We start from the raw sequence: 24,151 nt of genomic DNA, 5'->3' as shown, positions 1-24,151 counted from the left end.
GTGGCTGCCTCTGTGTGCAGTCAAGATGCATGTCCCAGGGACAGGGACTCCCAGTCTATATTTGTATGCCAGACAGTGGGACACACACCCCACCTCCTTCTTGCTCGGCGTGTTAACACGTCCAAGTGGCGGTCGGAAATGATCCATAGCAATGGACTTCGAGGGCTGAGCCCCAGGGATTTGCAGAACACCCCTCTGGGGCAGGAGGCTGGCTCTCCTCAGCGCACTGAGAAAGTGGCTGTGCTGGAGAGCAGTCTAACTGGGGTGGGGAGCTCCAGGCTCTCACCGCTCCCGACATGCTTAAATCTGCAGATCTTCTATTTTGGGGAAGACATGAAAGCGCTGAGCTGAGGGACGAGGAAGAGCTGGAGCCCGCAGAAGCCGTCCACAGCCCTGCCTCAGTGGCCCAGTGGGCAGAGGCCAGGGAGTGCCTCACTATTTTGCAAATGCCGACCCTGTGGCCTGCTGCCCGCCCCCCCCCCCCCCACAGTGGCCATACGGGCACAGGAGACCTTTTATGGGACTTTGGCCCTGGCAGGACCCAGGGCCTCCAGACGTGCGGGCGGCACATGCCTTGGGGACATCCTGCCTTCAGGACCGTGGGGCCTGGTCAGTCTGTCCATCCTCGGCAAGGACACAACACTGCCCCAGAGGGTGGGACCACTGCAAGCTCGAGACCTTGCTTGGTGACATGTGCCACTTTGGCCACCACCCACAGTCTGTCACCACGTGGCTTGGGAACTTCTGGAGCCACAGCAGGCATCACGGTGCGACGTGAGATGCCTGCGCCAGCCCCGAGCCCACTGGCAGCCACTGCCATTCCACCCATGGTCCCTCACCCTGCCCTGCCGACGAGCTTGTCTCTGCAGCCCCAGGTACCCCCTTCCTGGATGCTGCTGGCCCCAGGAGATAGCTTTCCGGTGACAGCTGTGGAACGCGTCAACAGGACAAACTGGACACATGGAGTTACAGTGTGTACACGGCAGTCCCGCCACCCAGCCCCCTTGTAAACTCTAGTCACTATAAACACACCCGTACGCCTATCCATGTCCACCCCACGTCCACCCCATGGCAGGTTTTCAACTCAGCCCGGGGACTGCTGTAGCCACAGTTCAGGCATGGGACTGGGTAACTGTTTCCCATCCAGAGACCCCGTGTCGTGCTTACAGAGCCTGGTGCGTGGGGGATGCTCAGTTAACCTTTGGTGAGGGATACCCACAGCCTTGCCTGGTGCCCCTTGTCTAGAGCAGGGCATGAGGAAGCCAACAAAACCCCCTTGGCCCACCAGCAGGCCCCTCCCACAGCCCCACCCTGTCTGTTTCCAGCCCCTCAAAAACTGAGCCAGCAAGCAGTGGGCCGGGGAGCAGCCGAGACCCCACCTGACACGTGACAAGGTCATCTAGCCAGGAAGTCAGGGAGTGCAATTTGTACCCCCTTTGCTGGTCAGGGCCTGCTGGGTGGCGGATGGGTTGAGGAGGGAGCGCTGGGGTGCACTGACCCACCCCTGGCCTGCTCTAGGCCATGTCAGGCCCCTCAGCGGTGGAGTCCCACTCAGTATCAGACTTGGCTGTCCTGGACTTGGGTCCTATCTGGGGAACGGGCAGAGACAGGGCCACCAGCAGCCGGTGCCTCAGCCAACTCAGGGATTCTGCCTGGTGAGCCAGGACCACAGCAAGGCCCCAGAAGGGCCCGGCAGAGGCATGGGGCCTGCACATCGGGGCCAAGCAGAATCTGCCCTGCACCGCCCCAGCCCACCTCTTCCATCTGAGACCCCAGGGACGGCAAGCAGTGTGGAGAGGTGGGGGCAGGGCTCCCGCAGGGCCTGGGCAGAGCCCTGGGGGCCAAACCCCAGGAGTTTGGGGGGTTCCAGGAGCTGGTTAGAGCCATCGTCTCACCCTCATCCCTACCTGGCACCCTCAGTCCCTGGCACCCCTTGGGCAACATGAGAAAAGCCCCCTCCAGAGGTCAGCGGGGATCGTCCCTGCCTCCTGGCCACACCAGTATGCTGTTCCCACTGCCTGACATGCTGTTCCCCACCTTGTCGATCCAGTCAGAGCTGCAGCCTCAGGTGCAGGGCCCATCTCCCAGAAGCCGTTCCTGGCAGCAGCCCCCAGTGGCCCAGCGCAGGATGGGTATCAGGAGGATGGCCAGGTGAAGCTGGGTGCCCCGAGGCTCACCCCAGCAGGGGAGGCTCTGGGGCAGCAGGGAAGGAGGCAGCCCACAGCCAGCCCCGTGGAGAAGGCAGGGCTGGGGGCTCAGGCTGAGCACATTTGTGCCTCAGGATCCTCCAGGGGGCCTTCAACCTGGCTCTGCACCCCTCTGAGCAGCTGCTGTGTGCCAGGCCCTGGTGCAGCCAGAGGGCGTGAGCTCCCTCAGAGGACCCACCCAGACATGGTGTGGCTTCTCCAGGTGCAGCCTCGGAGCCCAGGGAGGCCTTGCTCACAGCCACACGGTCTGCTCCTTGGCTCATGGCCCTTCCCTGCAGAGGCGTCTTTGTCCTCCTGTAGTCCTGGCTCCAGCGTCATGGCCAGCCAGATGGGACGGCCCCCAGGGGCTCCACAGGGCAGGGCCTGTGCCTGTGGGGCAGGTGTCAGCAGCGCAGGTGGTGCCCAGGACTAATGCCTGTGAGCTCGGCGTGGCACCAGGTGATGCGAACCCCTAACACCACTGCGAATCCCTAACACCACTCAGTCGAACCGCAGGCATGAGGCAGGGCCTGGCCATGGGCTCTCCTTCACCGCCTGGGCTTCTTCTCCAGGGAGGGAGCTGGGGTGGCATGGAGCCTGCAGACCGGAAGATTCTTCCCTGACTGGGGCTTGCCTCAGAGGCCCTGGGCCTGGCTGGGGTTCCATATTGATTCATTCTCACATGGGGGACCCCTCGGTTCTCTGAAATCCCTGCCCCCCATCACTGCATCACTGGGCACTGCTGCCCACCCCAAGCAGTTCCTTGGGAAATGGTGTCTTGGTTCTGGCTGCTGTAACAATACCAGAGGCTGGTAATTCATACACAACGGGAATGCGTTGCTCACAGTTCTGAGGGCTGGGAAGTCCAAGATGACGGCACCGGCTGATTCAGTGTCTGGCCCCTCACAGGTAGTGCCGCCTGGGTGCCCTCACACGGAAGGGGGATGCAGCTGCCTCCAGCCCCTCTTATGAGGGCGCTAAGCCCATTCACAAGGGCACCACCCCCATGACTTACCCACTCCCCAAAAGACCCCACCTCTTAATACCCTCACACTGGGGATTCTGCTTCAACATGGGAATGTGGGGGTCACCAGCATTAGACCAGAGCAGGCATCTCCATCGTGGCCAGCAACTTAGCCTGGGAACCCAGCCGCATCCAGCCCTCCGCAAAGTCCATGCAGCCCCCAGAGCAGAACCCCAGATAACCTCAGAGGTGTGAGTAGGGCTGCCCCAGGGACTGTCACAGTCTCTTCCCTAACAACTCAGGAACAGATAAACAAACGCTGACATGGCCCCTCATCCTTCACATCCCTCAGGCAGGCATCAGACCTCAAGCCTCTGCATCTCCCAACCCTGCAGGGCTCCTGAGTGGTTCTCCAGGAGGGGCAACCCCCTCACCCCTTGGAAGTGCCCCCATGTACCCACAGCACCCTCTGAGCAATGCCCTCCCCAGTTTCTAGCTCCCGACCACTGACTCACCCACCCATGGGTCAAGGAGGTGAGCAGCTGGGATCTCAGTCAAGAGCCCCATTTGGGATGTGCCTCAGCTGGAAGCTCATACTTCACACCTGGAAACTCAAACGCTTCCCCGTGACACCGAGCCTCAGGCCAGCACTTCACCTACAGCCTAACAAACCCCGCCAGCTAGGTGCTGTCACCATCCCCCTTGGCAAGTGGGGAACAGAGGCTCAGAAAGGCTAAGCAACTGCTCATGGACAACAGCATGGAGAGGCGGGGACTGCAGGGTCTGTCACCTCCACAGCTCTGCTCCTAACCATGGTGTGGGGCAGAGGGGCTTCTGCTGGCCACCGGGGCTTCCCATAGTCACACTCAAGGTGACATGCATCTTTCCTCTGCTCCTGCCTCCTCCTCTTTTGCAGGTCCCTGAGCCCCCTGTGTCCCCTGGTGTTTCAGGAGGACCCTGCACTGTCTCATTCATGCTCAAGACAAAATCTGCCACAGCCCAGCTCCCCTCCTGCACCTGCCCCGGCCCTCTGCAGGCCCTGCTGGGTAAAGCCATGCCTCATACCCAGCCATAGAGAAAAGCAGGCCTCACTCCCTATCACGCCACCCTCCATCCCCAGGCATCCAGGCCATGTGGCTCATGGCCCACTACACAGAGTCTTCAGTGAAAAGGCACCATTTTAACTCCCCAGGACTCAGGTTGGGGTCCTGGGGCCCTAGGCCAGGAGATGGATCCAATAGGAAAACCTCGAAAGGCCTGACGAGAGGCTCCTCAACCACAGTGGGGCCCTTGCCTGTGGCTGGGCGGGGTGCCTGACACCGTCCTCTTCAGCATCCCACCCTGCGCCTCCAGGTAGGACCGAAGAGATGGGAAGTTTAAGTGGAATGAAGGGATCTAAGGCATAAGCTACCCCCACTACAGACCAACAGACCTTTACCAAGTGGGCAAGCTGACAGCAGTTCAGCAAGGAGGAGACGGAAATCCCACATGTCGGGGCAGAGAGCAATGGCAGGAAAGAGCAGCAGAGGCCAACGGTAAAGAACCCCACAGGACAGACCAAGGAGCTTGACGTTTACCCCAAAGGCTCTAGGGGAGCCAGTGAAGAGTTCTGGGGGTGGCAGTAACATGGTCAGTTTTAAAAAGATCTCTGATCGCTTTTGACCCAACACTTCCACTTTTACAACCTAAACTCAGCGAAAAAACCTGAGACCAGCATAGTATTTGCATAATGGAGATGTCACGAGCGGCCTCCATCATCCTGCTCCTGTACCAGCACGTGGGTTTGCTCCTCAGCCCAGCCCAGCACCTGGAGAGCCCAGTCGAAGGCCCTCAACCAGCAGGAGCCCGAACCCTTTCTTGCAGCCTCAGAGGGAGATGGGTGTGTGCTCCTGGCCCTATGCAGGATGGGCTGACAGCCAGGGGCTTGGTGGGACAATAAGACTAGTGCACCCACTGGGCGCGGTGGCTCACACCTGTAATCCCAGCACTTGGGGAGGCCAAGGCGGGTGGATCACTTGAGGTCAGGAGTTCAAGACCAGCCTGGCCAACATGGTGAAAACTTGTCTCGACTAAAAAATACAAAAAATTAGCTGGGTATGGTGGCGCGTGCCTGTAATCACAGCTACTCAGAAGGCGGAGGTGGGAGAATCACTGGAACCTGGGAGGCGGAGGTTGCAGTGAGCCAAGATTGTGCCGCTGCACTCCAGCCTGGGGACAGAGCAAGATGCCGTCCCAAAAAAAAAGGAAGGAAGGGAGGGAGGGAGGGAGGGAAGGAAGACAGGAAGGAAGGGAGGGAGGGAGGGAAGGAAGACAGGAAGGGAGGAAGGGAGGGAGGGAGGGAGGAAGGGAGGGAGGGAAGGAAGGAGGGAAGGAAGGGAGGAAGACAGGAAGGAAGGGAGGGAGGGAGGGAAGGAAGACAGGAAGGAAGGAAGGAAGACAGGAAGGAAGGGAGGGAGGGAAGGAGGGAAGGAAGGGAGGAAGACAGGAAGGAAGGGAGGGAGGGAGGGAAGGAAGACAGGAAGGGAGGAAGGAAGGAGGGAAGGAAGGAAAGAAGGAAGGAAGACAGCAAGGAAGGGAGGGAAGGAAGGAAGGAAGACTGGTGCCTCATGGGGGCAGAAAGCTTCTCAATGAATTACTCCTATTGCTTTTGTGGACAGTTGCACCCCACTATTTAAATGATTTACCCTTCTGTATGAAAATATAAACGAAGGCCAGGTATGGTAGCTCACACCTGTAATCCCAGCACTTTGGGAGGCCAAGGTGGGTAAATCACTTGAGCCCAGATGTTCGAGACCAACCTGGGCAACATAGACCCCATCTCTACAGAAAATTTAAAAATTAGCCAGGCGTGGTGGTAATGGTACATACCTGTGCTCCCAGTCACTCGGGAAGCTGAGGTGGGAGGATTGCTTGAGCCCAGGAGGTCGAGGCTGCAGTGAGCTATGATTGCGTCACTGCATTCCAGCATGTGTAGCAGAGTAAGACCCTGTCTCAAAAAAAAAGAAAGAAAAGAAACATAAATGAAACACAGCAATTTAGAGCACAGTTTGGTTTAAATCAAGAGCCGTTAGCACTCACATAGACAACCTCTTCATCTAGAACACGTCTTTATAGTTGATCGTTTGATCTTACACATCGAGACCCTTTGCAGGAAACCTGCCAGGAGGCTACTGAAGACCTGGATAAAGGGTCTACGGGTCAACACTCAGAGAGAAGGTAACTGAGCCCTGGAAATTCAGATGTTTAGAGGTTGAAGAAATAAGGAAAATCCATCAAGGGCATTGAGAGTTTCTGGAAGTTAAGAAGGAAACCACGGAAGAGACAGAAGCTGTTAAAGAAAGACTCGAGAAGCAGCAGCCACCCAGCTGTGTCACATGCTGCTGAGAACATCCAATAAGAACCAAGAGCTGGCCTGGGGATTGGGCAATGTGGACATCAATAGTGACCTCAAAAGAAGGAATTTCAGTGAAATGTTGGGGATGAAAGTCTGCCTGAAGATGATTCCAAAGCAGATGGAAAGACCAACTATCCAATGGAAAAATGGGTAAGAAACGGTTCACAGAAGAGGAAATGTACATAGCTCGAACATGTAAAAAGATGCTCACGATGGCCGGGCGTGGTGGCTCACGCCTGTAATCCCAGCACTTTGGGAGGCCGAGATGGGTGGATCACGAGGTCAGGAGATCAAGACCATCCTGGCTAACACAGTGAAACCCCGTCTCTACTAAAAATACAAAAAATTAGCTGGGCGTGGTGGCAGGTGCCTGTAGTCCCAGCTACTTGGGAGGCTGAGACAGGAGAATGGCGTGAACCCGGGAGGCGGAGCTTGCAGTGAACCGAGATCCCGCCACTGCACTCCAGCCTGGGCGGCAGAGCGAGACTCCGTCTCAAAAAAACCAAACCAAACCAAACAAACAAACAAAAGATGCTCACGGTGATAGAAACTTTCAAGTTCTCTGAAAGACGACCACACTGATTTGCCATTTTTACCTCTTAGATTGACAGAAAACTAATAGTAATGTTTTGAAGCACAGCTGGGGAAACAAGCACTCGTCATTGCTGTTTGGAGTGTAAATTGATGCTCTCCCATGGAGGTGGATTTGGCGGTTGCCATCAAAATTACAGGCCGGGCGTGGTGGCTCATGTCTGTAATCCCAGCACTTTGGGAGGCCGAGGCGGGCGGATCACCTGAGGTCTGGAGTTCGAGACCAGCCTGGCCAACATGGTGAAACCCCATCTCTACTAAAAAATACATAAAATTAGCCTTGTGTGGTGGCGCATGCCTGTAATCCCAGCTATTCGGGAGGCTGAGGCAGGAGAATCACTTGAACCCTGGGGGCAGAGGTTGCAGTGAGCTGAGATCGTGCCACTGTATTCCAGCCTGGGAAACAAGAGCAAGACTTCGTCTCAAAACAACAACAACAAATTACAAATATGTGGATGCTGTGACATGGCAATGTCACCTCCAGCAAGTAATCTTCCCTTCACCCTTACACACCTTCAAATGAAGTCTGCATATGGCTATTCGTCACAGCAGTGTTTGACAGCAAAAGATTGGAAACAACCCTTGTCCATAAATAGGAAGCCAGGAAAACACATCCCTGTGTGCCTCCCCATTGAATACTCTGCAGCTGTAATAAGGATGCTTCATGTACTGACGTGGAAAGGCACCCTCACCCCACAATGGACGTACCAGCCCACCAGCATGGTTAAGTGGCCCCACAAATCCTTGCCAACGCTTAGCATCAGGATTATGTTCCTGCAGCAAGACATATGCCACCAAAATGAGGAAATAAACCAAGAAAGATGATGTGGGTCAGCAGTCACAGGACCCAACGCAGGGAGAGAACAGGAAGTCCTGGGAGACAGCCTCTTATCAGCACCCAGCAGATGACAGCCAGTGGGAGGACAGGGCTCCAGGAGAAGCCCAAACGCCTCTGCGGAACAGAAAACATGAAAGGAAGGGGGAGTGGGAATGGCAGCTTCTGTTAAAAGCCTCTTAACACTATAAATTACCTTTAAGTACTACTTTGATTTTTTTTAAATGGATTTTAAGCTGGGCATGGTGGCTCATGCCTGCAGTTCCAGCACTTTGGGAGGCAGGAGGATAACTTGAGGCCAGGCGTTCAAGACCAGCCTGGGCAACATAGGGAGACCTTGTCTCTACAAAAAATTTAAAAATTAGCCAGGCGTAGTGGCGCACACCTGTAGTCCCAGCTACTTGGGAGGCCGAGGGAGGGGAATAGCTTGAGCCCAGGAGTTCAAGGCTGCGGCGAGCTATAATTGAGCCACTGCCCTCCAGCCTGAGTGATAGAATGAGACCCTGTCTCCCATCCCCCCAGAAAAACATTTTACAACCAAAAAGTACAGTAAATCACTGTAGGGAGTAGGGTAGAGCTCCCAAAGCTGAGAGGGCCTATGGCCTAGCAAGAGAGCTCTGCACCCAAAGAAATGAGCAGGAAAACAGGGAAGGGGAGTACACAGACAGCAAAAGGTGGGTCTCTCTCAAATGTGATGTTCCTCCAAAATAATAGCATCTCAGACACACGCAGCTACCAGAGGAGGAAACACCCTGGGGCCCAGGCCCAGGGAGGGAGAGCCGGGGAGCTCCTCAGGGCCGTGAGGATGAAGGGTATTTGCCAAGCATCAGGAGCAGGAATCTCAAAGGGCAGGCAGAGGAGAGGAGCCGAGGGAAACCTACGGACCCCCTTCCCAGCAAAACGAGTGCAAGGGGTAAAAAGGATTTTTTTAAGCCTCCAGAAATTGTCTTTTTTTTTTTTTTTTTTTTGAGACAGAGTCTCACTCTGTTGCCCAGGCTGGAGTGCAGTGTCACAATCTGGCTCACTGCAACCTCCGCCTCCCGGGTTCAAGCAATTCTCCTGCCTCAGCCTCCTGAGTAGCTGGGATTACAGGCGCCCACCACCATGCCTGGCTATGTTTTTTTTGTATTTTTAGTAGAGACGGGGTTTCACCATGTTGGTCAGGCTGGTCTCGAACTCCTGACCTCGTGATCCGCCTGCCTCGGTCTCCCAAATGCTGGGATTACAGGCGTGAGCCACCACGCCCGGCCCGGAAGTTGTCTTAAAATAATAGACCAAATGAAGAAAAACTGATTCAAGAAAAAATCTACTGAAGCTCAGTAAGAACAGTGAGCACTATGAAATTTGAACTATTACCACTTCCTCCATCCTTACTCTCAGCTCAGAGTGACAAAAGCTCTGTGCCAGGTGGGTGCAGTCAACAACACAAAGCTCTCTGTCCCCCAGCTCCCAGGCAAGGCTACCATATCCCCACGGGAGGGGCAGGCTTCCAGCATCTCTCTCCGCAAGCCCAGCTCTGTGTTAGAAGCTAAATCTGGAGCAAGTGCAGCTGAGAGGTCAGGGCCCCCTCCTCCACTCAGCCCTTCCATTGCAGAGTGGAGACTCTGCCCTAGGTGCTTCAGTCTGAGCACACCGAGTCAGGCTGGCTCCAGCTCACTCAGGGTGGAAATTCCATGCTGGGAGAGGCAAGCCAGGAAGATCAGAGGCCGCAGTCCCCACCCAGTCCACTCATCAAGCAAGGGTGTCACTCTGAGAAAGTGGGCCGTTGTCCCTACCACCCACAGTGAAGCAGTGACTGAGAAATTTTGCCCAGGAGAGGAGAGGCAAGGCACAGGACAGACAGCTTCTAAGCTCTCCCCAAAGGAATTGCCTTTATTTGAACACAGTGTAGGTAAGTTCAAGGCTAAGGGCACTCAAAAAACAAGAGAGGCTAGGTGTGGAGGCCGACGCCTGTAATCCTAGCACTTTAAGAGGCTGAGGCAGGTGGATCACCCGAGCTCAGAATTTTGAGGCCAGCCTGGCCAGCATGGTGAAACTCCGTCTTTACCAAAAATATAAAAAATTAGCCTGGTGTGGTGGCACACGCCTGTAATCCCAGCTACTTGGGAGGCTGAGGCAGGAGAATCGTTTCAACCCAAGAGACAGAGGTTGCAGTGAGCCGAGATTGTGCCGCTGCACTCCAGCCTCGGCGACAGAGCTGGACTGTCTAAAAACAAAACAAAAACAGTAGAGATCGTGTTGGTAAGCGATTAACAGATAACTAGTAGCTTCAACAGAGCAACAAGCTAAACCATAAGCCAGCCAATTTACCAGATAGAACCATGGAGAAAGCAGCCACAAAGAGCCCTCTGGGGTCAGAATGAACCTCGAAGACTGACCTGGAACACTGCCCCTGCAGAGGCACCTGCATTTAATTGAATCAAACTGTGGAGAAATGTTGGTCCCAGGACCTGGTCTTAACAGTAGAACCATCATCCAGCAGTTGGTGGCGCCTAACAGCTGGTGCGAGACCAACAAAGGCAGACAGTTAACAGAATTACGAGGGAAAGGGACAGCCAAAGAGAGCCCTGCTAAAGCCACCGCCACCCCAGGATGACTGTGAGCATGCCCAAGGCTCCCCCTGAGGAGCAACATCAGAGGCATCACCTTGCAGGTGAAACAGACTGCGTTAAAATAGCCCAGTTAAGTCTCATGCTTTTCCCTGGCACGTGGCCTGCACCTGAGGCCTTTGCTCTCTATTTTTTGCCAGTTTGCCAGTAAAACTTTACTTATCAAAACAGGCAGCCAGCCTGTGGGCAATAGCTTACTGATTTAATTTTTTTAAATACTGCCTTGTTTATCCTGATTCTCTCCCGTGCCTTGGCATCCCTGGGAAGTTGCTTACTTAAGAGGCCAAGGGGCCGGGGGCGGTGGCTCACGCCTGTAATCCCAGCCCTTTGGGAGGCGGAGGTGGGGGGGGGGGGTGGGGATCATTTGCGGTCAGGAGTTCGAGACCAGCCTGGCCAACAAGGTGAAACCCCTTTTCTACTAAAAACTCAAAAATTAGCCGGGCGTGGTGGCACACGCCTGTACTCCCAGCTACTCAGGAGGCTGAGGCAGGAGAATGGCTTGAACCCGGGAGGCGGAGGTTGCAGTGAGCCGAGATCTCGCCACTGCACTCCAGACACAGCGAGACCACGTCTCAAAAAAAAAAAAAAAGAAGCCGAGGCCGTCGCCGGCCCGCGCCGAACCGCCAGGGGGCGCCCTCCCTCCGGCACCGCCCACTCAGCCCGGCAGGAATCCGGGGCACAGGGGGCCCCTGACGCCGCGCTGGGCGTCCCGAGTGCTGGGCGTCAGATTTGCTCCTTCGCGCTCCTCCGGCGGCAGCGCTCCTCCCCACCCCGCCCCCAGCAATCGCCCACCGACCTGCGTCCCTTTCTCCGCCGAGATGCCTTGGGATCTGCTCCCTCCTTCCCCTCACGGACCCTCCCCCAGGTCTGGCCTCAGCTGCTCCCACCTCCTGAGGTTTTTCTCGCGTTTTGATTTTAGGGCGGGCCTCCCAGCACGAAAGCCTGACCTAAAATCAAGGCTGATTATAGTTCCTGCTCCCAAACAATCCTTCCCTTCAGCCAGACCTGAGCCTCCTGAGAGCCCGCGGCTGAGCTGAGGGAGAGCCCTCGCGACCCCCGCGGGGGATGTGGGCGAGAAAGCGCCTCACTCTCCTCCCGCGCAAAACGCCGGAGAGACCGGAAAACGCAGCCGTCGAGGTGCGCAATATTTTAATGCCATGTTTTTAAAAGTTAAAGTTAATGAAAAAGTCCATGAACAAAATATCAACATTTTAAATAAAGACAGGATTGGATTTTTTTTTTTTTTGACGGAGTCTCTCCCCGTCGCCCAGGCTGGAGAGCAGCGGCGCCATCTCTGCTCACTGCAACCTCCGCCTCCCGAGTTCAAGCGATTCTCCTGCCTCAGCCTCCTGAGTAGCTGGGATTACAGGCGCCCGCCGCCATGTTTGGCTAATTTTTTGCATCTTTAGTAGAGACGGGGTTTCACCATATTGGCCAGGCTGGTCTCGAACTCCTGACTTCGTGATCCCCCCACCTCATCCTCCCAAAGTGCTGGGATTACAGGCGTGAACCACCGCGCCTGGCCGGATTGGATTTTTCTTTTGGCCTCAGGCTCCAGTCCTCTGACTGACCTTGTCTTTGACTTTTGAAAATATTGTATTAAAATATTATTTATGCTGATGACTGAGATTTTGAGGACCCTTCTCCAATTTTCCACCTGAGGCAACCATCTCACTCACTTCATCCCAGTCCCAGCCCCCTGTAGAGACAGTCAATAAACAAGTAATAGGTGGATGTGGTGGCTCACGCCTGTAATCCCAGCACTTTGGGAAGCCAAGGTGGGCAGATCACCTGAGGTCAGGAGTTCTAGACCAGCCTGGCCAACATGGTGAAATCCCATCTCTACAAAAAATATAAAAATCAGCTGGGCGTGGTGGCACGCGCCTGTAATCCCAGCTACTCGGGAGGCTGAGGCAGGAGAATCACTTGAACCTGTCGGAGTTTGCAGTAAGCTGAGATAGGGCCATTGCACTCCAGCTGGCGACAGAGCAAGACTCTGTCTCAAAAAAAAAAAAATACATAAAAGAAAAGTAATAATTTCAGAAAGTGATAAGATCTAGAGAAAATTAAACATGACCACGTGACCCAGCAACTCCACCCTCCTAGGTATTCCATTCCAAAAGAAATGACAACATACAGTCACACAAAAACTTGCACACAAATGTACATAGCCACACTGCTCACAATAGCCGAGGAGTGGGGAACAAACAAAATGTACTTCAGTGGATGAATGCTACACAAAATGTGGCTGTGATCTTATCAAATATACATTTGGTCTTCATCCGGGCTTCCTGGCCTACAACTGCTAGAATCCTCAGAATCTCCACAGTAGTGTCTTTCATATGCTAAAGAGGTGGGTGAAGGCGGGCAGCCCCCAGGTAGCTCCAGGATGGGGCTGGTCACCAGAAGGACCAAGGCAGGACTAGAGGCCTGGGACTTTCAGCCTCACCCCCCAGCCTCCGGGGAGCGGAGAGGGGCTGAAGGTTAAGTTGGTCACCCATGGCCAGTGATTTCACCAGCCACGCCCAAGAAATGAAGCCTCCGTATAACCTCCAGGATAGCTGAACACATGGAGGTTCCTGGAGGGCCGCGTGCCCAGGGAGGGGTAGAACCTTCGTGCCCCTTTCCCCATGCCTTGCCCAGGCATCTCTTCATCTGTATTCTTCCCAATACCCTTTATAATAAACCAGCAAATGTAAGTGTGTCCCCGAGTTCTGTGAGCCACTCTCGCAAATTAATTGAACGCAAGGAGGGCGTCATGGGAACCCCAACTTGAAGCCGGTCCCTCAGAAGTTCCTGAGGCCCTGACTTGGGAGTGGCATCAGAAGTGGAGGCAGTCTTGGGGACTGAGCCCCACCCTGTGGGCTCTGACGCTCTCTCCAGGTAGATAGCATTAGAATATAGAGGACACCCAGCTGGTGCCTAATGCAGAATTGGTTGCTTGCTTGCTGATGTGTGGGGAGAAACCCCCAACATTTGGTCACCGAAGCCTTCTGTGTTGCTTACTGTGGCGTGGGAGCAGAGGAAAAACGGTTTGTGTTTTTTCCACTCACAGATGGTTCTCTTGAAGTTTTTTCTGCCCATACATGCTGCACTGTTCTATACTGGGGCTGACCTCAGTTCAAAACTGGGAGACAAGAAAGAAAAAGCAACTGGGAAACTTGCCCTTGAATAGGTCATTCTTCAAGTTTCAGCTCTTCTCTCCTATCCACCTGCTATTGTTAACACTGCAGAGTCCTTAGCTAGTGACTTGTTGATTTTGTCCCTAGACAGCGGCATGGATGGATTGTAGTGGTCTCTTACTTCATCTTGGCCAGCTTCAGAATCCAAAATGTAATATTTAACCTCCCTAATTACGACGAATGTTAATTCTCCCATTTATTTTATTTTATTTTTTATTTTTTTGAGATGGAGTCTTGCTCTGTTGCTCAGGCTGGAGTGCAGTGGTGCAATTTCGGCTCACTGCAACCTCTGCCTCCTGGATTCAAAGGATTCTCCTGCCTCAGCCTCCCGAGTAGCTGGGATTACAGGTGCCCACCACCATGCCCGGGTAATTATTTTTTTGTATTTTTTAGTGGAGACAGGGTTTCACTATGCTGGTCAGGCCGGTCTCAAACTCCTGACCTTGGGTGATCCGCCCACCTCAGCCTCCCAAAGTGCTGGGATTACAGGCGTGAGCCACTGCGCCTGGCCGATTCTCCCATTTTAAGGATTAAAAAGTTGAGGTTTAAAGAGGTATAGTCATCTGCCCAACCTGTATAGCCAATGCTAAGGTTTATTTAAAATTAACTGATGAAACCTGTGTGGGGTGGAGTCAGAAAGCAGGAGAGGGTAAAAGAAAACAGGTGATGGAAGAACAGAGTGGTAGGGGAGGAAGAGGGTGAAATGGGAGAGAAAAGGAAGAGAAGGCCAGGCACAGTGGCTCACACTTGTAACCTGAATGCTTTGGGAGGCTGAGGTGGGAGGATCACTTGAGGCCAGGAGTTCCAGGCCAGCCTGGGCAGCATAGCAAGACCGTGTCTCAACAACAACGAAAAAGCATCCAGGCATGGTGGGGCGTGGCTGTAGCCTTATCTACTCAGAAGGCTGGGTCAGGAGCATGGCTTGAGCCTGGGAGTTTGAGGCTGCAGTGAGCTATGATTGTGCCACTGCCCTCCAGCCTGGGCAGCAGAGCCAGATCCTGTGTAAAAAAAAAAAAAAAAAGGCACTGCGGCTGCAGAATGGTCGGCGGTGGGAGGAAGTGCAAGCCCAGCGGGGAGGGGCCTGTGAAAAAATGGTTAATGTGAAGAAAAGTAAATTCTATGAAGCTGATGTGGTCTTCGACAAGAAGTAGAAAATCATTATAAGCTCTCTTCACCTGAAGATTCCGATCGTTTCTGGAAGTTCTTTGAAGAACTTGATCCTGAAAAGCCAGCTGATCACTTTCTGCAAGCCTCGGACTTCAGTTAGGTGGTCCTTATGATATCCTTGCTGGAAAACATAAAATTAAGAAAAATTCAACAGGCCTGAATGTTAGCCTTCATTGGAGGTTTTACCATGATCCTCCTGAGTTCCAGACCGTCATTATTGGAGATAATAAAACTCAGTACCACATGGGGTATTTCAGGGATTCTTCTGATGAACTTCCTGCATATGTTGGTATAAATGAAGCAAAGAAAAAGTGTACAATTGTTCCAAATGGAGATAATGTATTTGTGGCAGTCAAATTATTTTTGATGAAAAAACTTAAAGAAGTAACGCATAAAAAGAAAACTAGGCCGGGTGCAGTGGCTCACGCCTGTAATCCCAGCACTTTGGGAGGCCGAGGCGGGTGGATCACCTGAGGTAGGGAGTTTGAGACCAGCCTGACCAACATGGAGAAACCCCATCTCTACTAAAAATACAAAATTAGCCGGGCGTGGTGGCGCATGCCTGTAATCCCAGCTACTCGGGAGGCTGAGGCAGGAGAATCGCTTGAACCCGGGAGGTGGAAGTTGCAGTGAGCCAAGATCGTGCCATTGCACTCCAGCCTGGGCAACAACAGCAAAACTCTGCCTCAAAAAAAAAAAAAAAAAAACTAATCTCTTGAAAAACATAGATGAAAAACTCGCAGAAGCAGCCAGAGAAATGGGGTCCTCACTGGAACAGACAACCACGAAGATGAAACCGATAAGAAAGTTGTGACGAAGGCCTTTCATGGTGCAGGCTTGGCTGTTCCAGCAGATAAAAATGATGTTGGGTACAGAGAGCTCCCTGAAACAGATGCTGACGTCAACAGAATTTGCAAGACAATAGTTGAGGCTGCAAGTGAGGAGAGACTGAAAGCTTTTGTTCCCATTCAGGAAATGATGACTTTCGTGCAGTTTGCTAGTGATGAATGTAATTGTGGGAAGGGGCGTGAGTTGGGAATGGAGCTCTTTTGCTGTGGCTCACATTATTTTCATAAAGTTGCTGCTCAGCATTTACCTCTTGCATATAATCTGTTGAAGAGGAATCTGCAGAAATTATTGAGGATCATTTGGCAAACAGAAGTAAAGAGAACATAGAGCAACTTGCTGCATGAGTCAGGTGGCTTTGTTTGGTGTACAGTATTTCAAAGGATTAGTATTAAACTTGTGATTTTTGTTTTGTTTTTAAGGAATATAAAAAATAAACATTTACTAAAAACATTTATAATTAAAGAAAAAAAAGAGAAAAGGCAAAGGAGGAGAAAATCGAGAAGGTAAGGGCATCTCCTACCCCATGGGTCAGGATGGTACCAGGCAATGCATCTCTACACACAGAGCACCCACCCAGAACCCGCTGCCTTCACACAGTCCCCTCCCTTCGGGAAGTCAGCATAAGCACACCAGCCGGTCTGCGATGTCATCTTATCTGCTGTTGCAGTCAGGGGCTCAGGCTTAAAGCAATCAGCCCTGGCATTTCCTTGTTGACTCTATTCGTCCAGAGTGGTTGGGCAGGTATCAAAATTGGCTGAAGGCCAGGTGTGGTGGCTCTTGCCTGTAATCCCAGCACTTTGGGAGGCCAAGGCAGGAGGATCTCCTGAGCCCAGAATTTGAGAGCAGCCTGGGCAACATAGAGAGTCCCCGTCTCTACCAACGGAAAAAAAATGGCTGAAGATAAGAATTTTTTTTCTGCCATTGAGGGAATGCTTTCTCTCTCCCCATCTAGCAGGAATGAGGAAGTGCCTTGCTCCAGTTGCGGCTGGCATTTATCTTGCAGCTGTGAGAGAAGACGGCCTTGGGGACAAAGACTGTGAAAGGCCACGCAGGCTGTCCAAAACCCTTTCTTCCCCGGATCCCCTTCTCAAGGAAGCCCATGTCAGTGAGGGTTTCTGTTACTTGCAGCCCAAGGCATCCCAATGGCCCCCAATGGGTGTCTCTTGTCCCAGCCTGGGATGCTGCTGGCATGCCCCAGGTGATGCTGGAGAGACTCCTGACTCATCCCAGGGGCAGGGCAAGCCACATCTGTCACAGGGGAACAAGTGTGCCTGTTACTGCCGCTACCCAGATCTATGTGCCTTATACCTATAAGTGCATCCCAATTTTCCTTGGGAAACCCTCCAGACACCAACCAATTCTGGCATCAACTGGGTGTCCTATGGTTCAAGCTGATTCTGACACTTAACTACTCGGAGTTGACTTGACACTCCATAGGGTTTAGTCCCATAATACTGGCCTGTCTTCAGGTGCCAAGTTACCCACACTTTGGTCTGACTTGGCTACAAAGTCAGGGGTTCCCACAACCTGCCCTACTTCAGGTTCTGTAATTTGCTAGAATGACTCACAGGACTCAGGAAGGTACTTACCTTACTCTTGCCATCATAAAGGATACAACTCAGGAACCGCCAAATGGAGGAGATGCACAGGGCGAGGGATGAGGAAAGGGGCCTGGAGCCCGCATACCCTCTCTGGGTGCATCCCCTCCCAGCATATCAGTGTGTTCACCAACCCAGAAGCTCGGAGGCTTCATTACCCGAGCCTTGACCAGTGGAGACTGATTCAGTCTCCAGCTCCCCACCCCTCCCTGGAGATTGGGGGTTGGGGCTGAAAGTCCTGACCCTCTAAATGCATCGTTGGTTCCTCTGGCAACCAGCCCTCATCCTGAAGCTATCTAAAATCATTATCAGAGATTACCACCATTATCAGAGATTCCAAGGGTTTCGGGAGTTATGTGCCAAAAGCAGGGACCAAGACCAACATTTATTTTTTATTGTACCACCCTCTCCATTTTCAGCCCATGGGGCTGGGTCAAGGGGTCCTCCCCCTAGGCCTCTAGGAAGAAACACGTGGTCTGGTCCATTGGAGCATTTTATTGAGCTGGTCCAAGTGGCTGGCTTAATGGGACTCACGACATGAGATAAGCCACTGAGGCTCAGAATACGGAATGGTAAGTCCTTTAAAAAAGAGAAAGCATTTCTGTCCTGCTGTGCCCCGCTGGGATTCTGAGACGGCAGAACGTTCCTCCTGAATGTGCTGGGACACGCCGGGGGTCATCTTGTACCCACACAGGGAGAGCCACCTGAGAACAAATGAAGGCAACCCAGGGGAGAGCAAGGTTGAGACAGGGACAGAGGGAGCCCAACATTGATGATATCTTTTGAGCGTGTAGATTCAGTCATGCCTTAGATCAGACCCATTATATTCTCCTCCTGCTTGAGCTGGGCTTCACATACTTGCAACCACCATGGCACTGATCAGTGCCTGCCACCCTTAGTTTGCGGGGCCATCAGATTGCTTAAGGGCCCTCCCCAACTGCCCTCTTCACTCTTAGCTGAAAATCCCAAGTTCTAGATTTTCAGAGTTGGGGCCCCTCCATCAGGAGGAGCTCCCTTCTCTAGGATAGGCCTAATTTGGGAGTGTTTTAAAATGAGTACATGGGAAATTTCAAGAGGCCAAGACCCCAGAGCCCAGCCTGGGAGTATTTCAGTGCTCCCTCCCCTTTGTCTCTACCTCCGTCAGTTAGGGCTGCATTCAGATGCAAATAACAGCAAATCTTTCACACGAGGGTTTAAACAAAGAAGTGCAGAAGAATGCGCCAGGCTGGCTGAGCCCTGGCTCAGCTCAGGGGCCCAGGCTCCCTTGTCCGTCTCCACTGCCTTTAGTGCATGGCTTCTGTCCTCAGGACCCCATGTGGCAGGAAGAAGGAGAAATACAGCACAACTGACCTCCCAGCCGGTGCATTGCCCAGAACCTCTGCAGGCTGGGACGTGCTGTGGGAGGGGGGCGGGTGGGGAGGATCTTCGATTGTTTGCTAATGTATTCCAAGTACCTAGAACTGCTGCTCCATAAAAATGTGCTGAATGAACGAGTGGGTGGATGAACGGATGGATGCCCATACAGGCAAACTGAATTTTTACTTCCTACAGCCTCTGCTGTGGAGTCAGGCGTGGGAGAAGGGGTGAGCATTGAGTGGCCCCTTAAGGCATCTGTCACTCTGTTCCTCACGCTGACACGTGATCTCTTGACATCCCCATTGGCTGTCACCTTCTACAGGTGGAATCTCTTCTTTTGTTTGTTTGTTGGAGTTGGAGTTTCGCTCTTGTTGCCCAAGCTGGAGTGCAGTAACGCGATCACGGCTCACTGCAACCTCTGCCTCCTGGGTTCAAGTAATTCTCCTGCCTCTAGCCTCCTGAGTAGCTGGGATTACAGGTGCCTGCTACCACACCCAGCTAATTTTTTTGTATTTTTAGTAGAAACGGGATTTCACCATGTTGGCCAGGCTGGTCTCAAACTCCTGACCTCAGGTGAACCACCCGCCTCGGCCTCCCAAAGTGCTGGGATTACAGGCGTGAGCCACCGCGCCCGGCAAGAGATTTCTCTTGTCATCTATGTGAGCCGATCTGGAACTCTCAACCCCCACCAAACTTTTTTAGAATATTCTTGTTGTTGTTTGTATTTTGTTTTCTTTTGAGACAGGGTCTCATCCTGTCACCCAGGCTGGAGTGCAATGGTACAAACACAGCTCACTGTAGCGTCAATAGCCTCAACTTCCTGGGCTTAAGCAATCTTCCTGCCTCAGCCTCCAGAGTAGCTGGGACACCACAACGCCCAGCAAATTATTTTATGATTTTTTGTAGAGATGGGGGTCTCGCTATGCTGTTCAGGCTGGCCTTAAACTCCTGGCCGCAAGTGATCCTCCCGTCTCAGCCTCCCAGAGCACTGGAATTACAGGGGTGAGCCATTGCACCCAGCCCGCCTGAGAACTTGCACCTTTCTGTTGGGATCTGGCAAATGCATCATACTAGCAACAGCTATTCATCCGGAAGAGGGGGTTGCATGGCTCATCCTCTAGGCTTAACCTTGGGCAGGAGTTTGAGGGTCCTGGGATTTTTAAAGTTTCCCTTTGTACTTTCCAGTCCTTGTTCATACATATGGACTTGTTCCACATAATGGCAACCAGAGATTTATTTGTATTCTGCTTTTGCACTCAACAGAACATCGTAAGTGTTCACGTTGCTACAGCCTGTTCGATATATTAATAGCTGCATAACCATCCTCAAATTTGTTGCACCACAATTTGCTTAACAAATAAAGGAGTTTATTTCCAACTTTTTGTCCCTGTAGCTAATGCTACAGTAAATATCCTTATGCACATAGTTTGTTTTCTCTTGTGTTGAATGTTGGCTTAAAAGTGTCCTGGACTCTGGTGTCAGCTCTGGACTGGCAGCTTGCATTGCCCGCCCACCTGAATCCCCAGGCTGCTGGTCATGGAAAAGCTTCTGGGTCTCTCATGTCAGACTCTCGGCTGACCACAAATGATCTGCACATTGTCCCCTACCTGGAAGACATGTCTGAGAGAGAAGATCAAAACCCCACCTCTACTTCTGAAAGAAACCAGCCAGCGTTCACCTGGCAGGAAGTGGGATCAGGGATCTGCATGGGCTTCCCCCTGCAGCAGACGGAGGCTGCCCTTGCCTGCCCGTTGCCCACTAAGCTATTTTGGCCCTGGAAGGGGGCCCATTCCTCCTCCATCAGATACTCTCTTGGCAGAGCTGACAGTCAAGGTGGTTCGAGTTTCTACAGTCAAGGGGCAGGCATCTGATCCAAGGTAGGAAGCTTGTGTTCTTCCTTGAGGAACCCAGCACTGGCTTTGCCCGACAGCAGCACCCTCATAGAACCCTTTGGTTCCAGCCACCCCAACCCGCACGGCTGCATGAGGGCTGTCCTTTCTGAGCCTAGCCCTGCTACCCTCCCTCTGAGAAGTGAAGTCGGCTAGGCTTCTGGGTCGGGTGGGGACTTGGAGAACTTTTGTGTCTAACTAAAGGATTGTAAACAGACCAATCAGCGCTCTGTGTCTAGCTAAAGGTTTGTAAACGCACCAATCAGCACTCTGTCAAAACGGACCAATCAGCACTCTGTAAAATGGACCAATCAGCACTCTGTAAAATGGACCAATCAGCAGGATGGGGGGGCGGGGCAAATAATGGAATAAAAGCTGGCCACCCCCTGCGGCAGCGGCAACCCGCTTGAGTCCTGTTCCACGCTGTGGAAACTTTGTTTTTTTTTCTTTGCAATAAATCTTGCCACTGGCTCACGGTTTGGGTGAGGCACTGCATTTATGAGCTATGACACTCACTGGAAAGGTCTGCAGGTTCACTCCTGAAGTCAGTGAGACCACAAACCCACCGGGAGGAACGAACAATCTTGGACGCGCCGCCTTTAAGAGCTGTAAGACTCACTGCGAAGGTCTGCGGCTTCACTTCTGAAGTCAGGAAGACCACGAACCCACCAGAAGGAAGAAACTCTGGACACATCTTAACATCTGAAGGAACAAACTCTGGACACACCGTCTTTAAGAATTGTAACACTTGCTGTGAGAGTCTGCAGCTTCATTCTTGAAGTCAGGGAGACCAAGAACCCACCAGAAGGAACCAGTTCCGGACGCACTTCCAGCCAGATGAGTGGCTCTGCAGACTTCCAAAGGAGCCGCTTTCTGTGCAAGTTGGACCAAGTCTGTTTCTCCTGTCCATGAGGATAAGGGTCCTGGATATCCTAGGTCGCCTGGTGGAGGGGCCCTCGGGAATCCAACGATCACCACTGCAAGTCAGCCTCAGCACCAGCACTCAGATGCAGGGGTGGCTGGCCTCAGGCTTCCTCAGCCCAGGTGCATGGCCTCTCGCTCAGCTCTTTGTGGCTCAGTCATTCATCACTCTGATCAAACTCATCTTGACAAAGGACAAAGCAATACCTTCGATCCTGCTTTTTAGCAGCCATCCTGGCAGCCTGTGACTGCTCAGCCTCCCAAAGGCAGGACCAGGTCCAGGACCCACCCGAATTCCTGGACAGAGCTCGACTGTCAGCTTGAGGCTTCCTGGGCTGGGCCAAATGCAAAGAAACCCAGGGGTCCTCTGCATCCTGAGCCTGGCGCCAACCTGCAGTAGCAACATGAGTGAGGCCCAGGAGCCTGCCAGGACTGGGTTTACGCCCCAGAGCCGCCACTCACTACTCATCAGCTGGACAAAGAGCTTCTCTGAGTTTCAGTTTCCAGATCTGCAAAATAGGTGTAACAATCCCTGTGTCTGAGCATCTGCAGGGAGATCAAATTCTCGTCTCTGGAACATGACAGCTTCCAAATCTGAGCCATCCTGTCACTTCTCTTGGGTCAATTGGGGTTTCCACGATGTCACCCCATCAGACTGTCACTAACATGGCCTGAGAGCCCTGGGCTCGGGGACTGCCAGCATGGTAGGTTTCCCTCCCCGTACTCCTGCCGTTACTTCCCTGATGAGACCATCCCCCAGAGAAGGGAAAGGAGGGCAGTTTCGTTCATTTAGTGCAGAGCCTGGGAGGTGGGAGGAGCCTGGGCTAGCTTCATTTTTTTGAGGTTCTTGGTATGCTACAGATGAGAAGGTTGCAGTGATTGTGGTATAATTTCAGTGTTCTCACAACAAATTAGAACACAGCATACTTGTGGTGTTGACAGGACAACTGCAGAACTCAGTACATTTCCTGGGGAGTTCTGAGTGGTGCAGTCTTAGGGCAGGATACAAGCTTTGGGTCTCAGGATGGCTGTCCACTTCTGCTGGATCTGGGGTGCACCCTTACAGTCTGAATTTCTAGAAAAAGGCATAATCAAACCCCCTGCAGAACTTTCACGGGATCCCATTCAAATAAAACAGGGTGGAGGGACACGTTGAGATGTTTGGAAATATCTGAATAAGGGTGGGATATGGGGTTATTTTAGGGAATTCATTGTTCATAGGGAATTCACTGTTCATTGTCCCAGCCGTGATAGCATGGAAGAACAGCCCAAAGGGTCATAAGATAGTTCAGGAAAGAGCTTTACAAGTCAAAGTGACAGAGCAGCAGGTCCCCAACACTTTTGACACCAGGGACCAGGTTTAGTGGAAGACAATTTCTCCATGGACTGGAATCAGGCTGGGGGTGGTTTTGAGATGATTCAAGCACATTACATTTATTGTGCACTTTAATTCTATTATTATTAACTTGTAATATATAATGAAATATTATACAACTCACCATAATGTAGATCAGTGGGAGCCCTGAGCTTGTTTTCCTGCAACTAGACAGTCCCATCTGGAGGTGATGGAAGACAGTGACAGATCATCAGGCATTAGATTCTCATAAGGAGCACGGAACCTAGATCCCTCGCACACACAGTTCACGGTACGGCTCACGCTCCTATGAGAATTCAGTGCTGCTGCTGATGTGACAGGAGGTGGAGCTTAGGTGGTAACGTGAGCAATGGGGAGCAGCTGTAAATACAGATGAGGCTTCACTCGCTCACCAGCCTGCTCCGTGAGGTTGGGGACCCGTCAGATACAGCATTTATGACCACATGATAACCACAGCTGAATCCAGGTGGTGGGATACACAGCTGCTTCATTGTACCAATCTCAACTTTTTCATGTATTTGAAATTTTTCATTAGAAGAGAGTAAATTTTTTGGATTGCTACTGCAAATATGTTGTAGATTTTTCTAAATAAAATGCCATTACGTCATGTCCTGGTGGCAGTGGGCACCCGGTGCCTGCGAGTGCCTGCTCTGGGGGGTGCCTGTGGGAGGGTGGTGTTTCAGTCCTCACCCAGGCTGAACCCTTCACAGACCTCACCTCTATAGCAACAAGTCACAGGGAATGGGGTAACTACAGCGGCCACATGTTCCAGGCATCTGTCCTCTGATTTGCATCTGGCAGAGCTAGAGAGGCAGAGGTCATCATCTCCACTTCACAGAGAGAAACTGACCCCAAGGGGACGAGAACTTGCAGAGATCACAGAGCTGATTCGTGGCCAAGTGGGAATTTGAACCAATGGCATTCTGCTAAACCACTGTGAAAAATAAGAAAGAGGGGGAGGGGGAGGGAAGGGAGGCCTGATTTGTAGTGTGTGCCAATTTCCATGGTATAAATACTACTTTACTGCCGTGGCTGGTTTCAGAGTACCAATGTTTAACAACCGGCTTGCAGAATTTCTGAATATTTAATAATTGGCTCCAGCACAGCATCGATTTAAACCCAGGCCTAGGCATCTGTCCCTTGAGCTCCTCTTCCGTTTTCTGTCCTTTGCACACCAGTTGCATAATTTCTCCACATCTGTGTTCTACCTGTTATTTATTAAATAGTTTTCTTTA

General features: G+C 52.3%; 1 protein-coding gene and 1 pseudogene across 1 annotated transcript in view, besides 3 other annotated features; both read left to right on the top strand.

Annotated features, from left to right (window-relative positions):
* The window catches only part of RASGEF1C (RasGEF domain family member 1C), a 108,417-nt gene extending 107,374 nt beyond the window's left edge, over positions 1-1,043 (top strand). Inside the window, exon 14 of the mRNA NM_175062.4 lies at positions 313-1,043. Coding sequence (NP_778232.2) covers positions 313-337 — 25 coding nt within the window. The 3' untranslated portion in view covers positions 338-1,043. The remainder of the gene's footprint in view (positions 1-312) is intronic.
* Positions 7,960-8,104: an enhancer, noted in NCBI's record as "145 bp enhancer 81 fragment used in the MPRA reporter construct; PK_construct_4475". NCBI's record gives its function as "activates an SV40 promoter by MPRA in K562 cells {active_cell/tissue: K562}" and the evidence as "EXISTENCE:reporter gene assay evidence [ECO:0000049][PMID:23512712]".
* Positions 8,023-8,040: a transcriptional cis regulatory region, noted in NCBI's record as "GATA motif; enhancer activity is reduced when this motif is scrambled". NCBI's record gives its function as "necessary for full MPRA enhancer 81 activity {active_cell/tissue: K562}" and the evidence as "EXISTENCE:site-directed mutagenesis evidence [ECO:0005528][PMID:23512712]".
* Positions 11,182-11,311: a silencer, noted in NCBI's record as "silent region_16758". NCBI's record gives its function as "represses an Ori minimal core promoter by ATAC-STARR-seq in GM12878 lymphoblastoid cells {active_cell/tissue: GM12878}" and the evidence as "EXISTENCE:reporter gene assay evidence [ECO:0000049][PMID:35858748]".
* LOC646058 (histone PARylation factor 1 pseudogene) lies at positions 14,783-16,229 on the top strand (annotated as a pseudogene).

Source organism: Homo sapiens, chromosome 5 (genome assembly GCF_000001405.40).
Source record: "Homo sapiens chromosome 5, GRCh38.p14 Primary Assembly".
NCBI classification, from domain to species: domain Eukaryota; kingdom Metazoa; phylum Chordata; class Mammalia; order Primates; family Hominidae; genus Homo; species Homo sapiens.
The sequence above is the reverse complement of the archived record's forward strand: the minus strand, read 5'-3'. Positions and strand labels throughout refer to the sequence as shown.